Source organism: Homo sapiens, chromosome 2 (genome assembly GCF_000001405.40).
Source record: "Homo sapiens chromosome 2, GRCh38.p14 Primary Assembly".
NCBI classification, from domain to species: Eukaryota; Metazoa; Chordata; class Mammalia; order Primates; family Hominidae; genus Homo; species Homo sapiens.
This window is the reverse complement of record NC_000002.12, coordinates 4,921,047-4,925,667: the sequence shown is the minus strand read 5'-3', so window position 1 is coordinate 4,925,667 and position 4,621 is coordinate 4,921,047. Positions and strand designations below refer to the sequence as shown.

General features: G+C 39.0%; 1 annotated feature.

The window, feature by feature from the left end:
* Window positions 679-886: a silencer, noted in NCBI's record as "fragment chr2:4972372-4972579 (GRCh37/hg19 assembly coordinates)". NCBI's record gives its function as "represses an EF-1alpha promoter that drives an FKBP-Casp9 reporter gene in an ReSE screen in K562 erythroleukemia cells {active_cell/tissue: K562}" and the evidence as "EXISTENCE:reporter gene assay evidence [ECO:0000049][PMID:32094911]".

The window sequence follows — 4,621 nt, the reverse complement described above, 5'->3', positions numbered from 1 at the left end:
TATGTGCCACGGGTCACCTTTAAAAAATTGCCTTGTGATTTTTAAAGCACTTCCACGTGTGCTTTCTTCTAAGAGCCACGCATCATCCTAATACACAGACCACACGCCCTAGGAGTAAGGGCCGAGCAGCGGTAACGGTGAGGCCCCTAAGCGTGGCTCCGATAGAGCAGAAACCCCATGGAGCACATTGCAGTTGGTGGCTGTCTATTCTCTAGGCCATTTGGGCACAAAAGTGGCTTCCTACATGGTCACAGAAGAACCCCTTTCTTTTCCCTCCTCATGTTATCAGAGCTGGAAGTGCAGCATTTCTGTGTTTCCATGTTTCAGGTCTCAAAAAAAGGAAAGTATATGGAAGGAATGCCCAGTGTTGGCAGGTGGGGCACAGAGTCTGCTGGCCACAGCCACTCAGCAGCCACGCCATGACTTTGGAGGGAAGGGAGACGTCTCTGTCACAGTTGCTGAGAACGAGAGGAATTAAGCCTTTCACCTCAATTCAAACTCCTGTTTTTATTTTTTCTCATTTCATCCCTATCTAAATCCTATTGACATTTCTAATAAGGCCTGGCTTTAATTTTATATATTTTATAAACCCTGTGTCACTGCTCCATTTGAAAGTTATTTTATTTCACTAAATTATGTGTTTATTCTTAGAATGCCTGGCATTTTCCCATGCCGACTTTTTTTCTTTTTTTTTTCCTTTTTTTTTTTTTTTTTGAGATGGAATCTTGCTTTGTTGCCCAGTCTGGACTAAAGTGGTGTGATCTCAGCTCACTGCAAACCTCTGCCTCCTGGATTGAAGTAATTCTCATGCCTCAGCCTCCTGAGTAGCTGAGACTACGGGCATGTGCCACCACATCGGCTGATTTTTGTATTTTTTATTAGAGACAGGGTTTCACCATGTTAGCCAGGCTGGTCTCGAACTCCTGACCTCAGGTGATCCACCGGCCGTGGCCTCCCAAGTGCTAGGATTACAGGCGTGAGCCACTGCGCCAGGCCCATGCTGATTTTTACTATTGGTTACTTTTTCCCATCTGAATATCTTTCTTCAACTAGATTGTAAACACCCCAATTAGAGAAACATGATTGCATAATTTATACACATGACACGTGCCACACAGATATACCCTGCATACATATGATACACACACCACATACAGCACACACACATACATGCCACATGCCACACACAACCAAAATACAAATATGTGCATGGATGACACACACAAACACCACACACAGATACATACACATGACACACACCACACACACCCTACAGAAATATATGCACATAGAGATGACACACACACACCATACACAGATACCCATAACACACATCACACAGACATTCCCTACCTACATACACTCACACAGATGACATATGCCACACACACCCGAAATACGTATGTGTACACCGATGGCACATACTTACATCACACACAGACACACACATGACATATACACATACACACCCTACAGACATACATGCACACAGATGACACACACCATACACAGATACACATGGCACACATCACACAGACATGCCCTACATTCATACACTCACATAGATGACACACACTACACTGACACATACACAAAAGACACACAACCTAAATGTACATGTTTACACAGATGACATACTGTACAGATACACATATACCTATGGCACACAGAATACACACATACACATAAATACGTAACAAGTGCACACCTCATACACAGCCCCTCATACATCCCATAAATATACACATACACACCACACACACCACCACACACCCCAAATGTACACACACACACATACACACACACTTTCTGCTTTCAGCTCAGACCTTCCACTTGTTAGTTTCAGCTGTGCAGGAAGTCCCCTGTTGTAGATTGACTGTGTCTCCACAATTCATATGCTGAGGTCCTAACCCCCAGTACCTCCCAATGAGACTCATTTGGAGAGAGAGTCTTTGAAAAGATCCTGTTAGGATGTGGTCACGAGCATGGATCCTAGTCCAATAGAACTGTATCCTTCTATAAAGAAGAAATGTGGACACAGACACACAGAGGAGAGACAGTGCGAAGACACAAGGAGGAGACACCATCTGCAAGCCGAGGAGGAAGGCCTGGAACAGGTCCCTACCTTAGCCCTCAGAAGGAACCAACCTGGGTCTCAGACTTCCGGCCTCAGAACTGTGATAGAATCGCTTCTGTTGTTTAAGCCTCCCTGTTAGGGGATTTGTTTGCAACAGCCCTACCTACAAAACTAACACATTTCCCAGAGACGATGTAATAAATGTCTAGTGTACTTTAAACAGGAATACTCTTATACATGTGTAGCTTCCCCAAAGCTGGGTATTAGTCCAAGCTCATAATTTCAAGTACCACAGAACCCCTTTTTGTCAAAAAATTCTGCTTTCATATACAATTAATTACAATTCATTTGTTTATTAATTTTCCTGTGTAATGTTGTTCAAAGGACACAGTTGTCCTTTGAACAACGAGGGTTTGTGGCATAGACCTCACAGTCAAAAATCTGAGTGTAATATTTTACTACCCCAAATTAACTTACGAATAGCTTACTGTTGACTGGTCACTTTGCCAATAACATAAACAGTCTATTAATCCATACTTTTTATGTTACATGTGTCATATACCATGTTCTTAAAGTAAGCTAGAGAAAAATAAATGTTACTAAGAGAATCATAAGGAAGAGAAAATATATTTACTGTTTATTAGGTAAAAGTGGATCATCAAAACTTCATGTTGAGTAGGCAGAGGAGAAAAAGGAAAGGAGAAGTTGGTCTTGTTGTCTCAGGGGTGGCAGGGGCAGAAGAAAATCCATGTATACGTGAACCCGTGCAATCCAAGCTCCTATTGTTCAGCAGTCAACTGTATACTATGAATTCAATTGGATTAGGCACTTTATAGAATAATCGTTTCTTTCTGGCCACATGTGGATTTTTTTCCATTTTTAAATTGCTTTTCTATTTGCCTTTTCTATTCTTTTTTTTCTATTAGGCTTTCTATTTTTGCCTTAGCAAATGAGATAGGAAAATATAACTATATTCTTTCAAGATTTTATCCGAATCCTCTGAGTTCACGGAAACATTTTCTCTGAGATTTGTGGAAATACTTTATTTCCTTCAATATTCTTTTCCTATTACATGTAAATATATGCACATTTATGGAGCCAAATATGCCTGCTGTATCTTTCTGCAACATCAGAGTATTGCTTCTGATATGATTTGGCTGTGTCCCTACCCAAATCTCATCTTGAATTGGAGCTCCCCTGACACATGTTGTGGAAGGGACATAATTGGAGATAATTGAATCATGAAGACGGTTTTCCCCACACTGTTCTCCTGGTAGTGAATAAGTCTCAAGAGATCTGATGGTTTTATAAGAGGTTTCCCTTTTCACTTCGTTCTCACTCTTTCTTGCCTGCCACCGTGTAAGAGATGTCTTTCACTTTCTGCCATGATTGTAAGGCCTCCCAGCCACGTGGAACTGTGAGTCCATTAAAACTCCTTTTCTTTATAAATTACCTTGTCTCAGGTATGTCTTTAGCAGCAGTGTGAAAATGGAGTAATACAGCCTCCCTCACATAATTAAAATACTATATATATATACACACATATATATTTATATGTATATACACATATATTTATATATACATATATACACATATATATACACATATACATGTATTTATATATACACATATATATACACATATACATATATTTATATATACATATATATATATACATATATATATTTATACATATAAACATCAGTTTTCTTGTGGTAAAGTCCCCTTATAATAAAATTCACTATGTTTATTGTACTGTTCTATGAGTTTTGACAAATACAGAAAGATGTGTAACCACTGCCTAGATGAAGACATAGAACAATCCCAACACCCTCCAAAACTGCCCCCACCCTTTTGTAGGAAAATCATCCCCACCTCCAGCCCCTGGCAAATTCTCCTCTATTTCCAGTCCCTGCAGTTTTGTTTTCTCCACAAAGTTGTACACATGGAATCATACAATCTGTAGCCTTTTTGAGTCTGGCCTTTTCACTTCAAATCCTGCATTAGATATTCATACATTTTGTTAAGAGTATTGGGTAGTTTGTTCCTTGTTATTAATAAGAGATGTCACATTCTACAAATGTGCCACTGTTTATCTAATAACCAGCCACAGAGCATTTTGGATGTTTCCAGTATTTTTGAATTATGGATAAGGTGGCCAGAAAACATTCATGTGTAGGTTTTGTTACAATTTAATTTCTCTTGCATACCACTTGAAAGTGGTCTCCTTGGGTCAAAATGGTAGGTGTATGTTTAATTTTCTAAGGACCTGCCAAGATGTTTTCCAGAGTGGCTTTAACATTATCTATTCCCACCAGCAATAAATGAGAGTTTCAATCAGGAGTTAGTATCATCCCGTGTATTTCTTTCTTTTTCATTTATTATTATTTTTTTAATTTTCGCTTTTTTAACAGGTGTATAGTGATATCTCATTGTGGTTTTAGTTTTTAATTTCCTGATGAATAATGAAGTTAGGCATCCTTTTAAATGCTTATATGCCATCTGTGTATTTTCGTTTGTAAAGCATCTGTTTAAATTATTAGC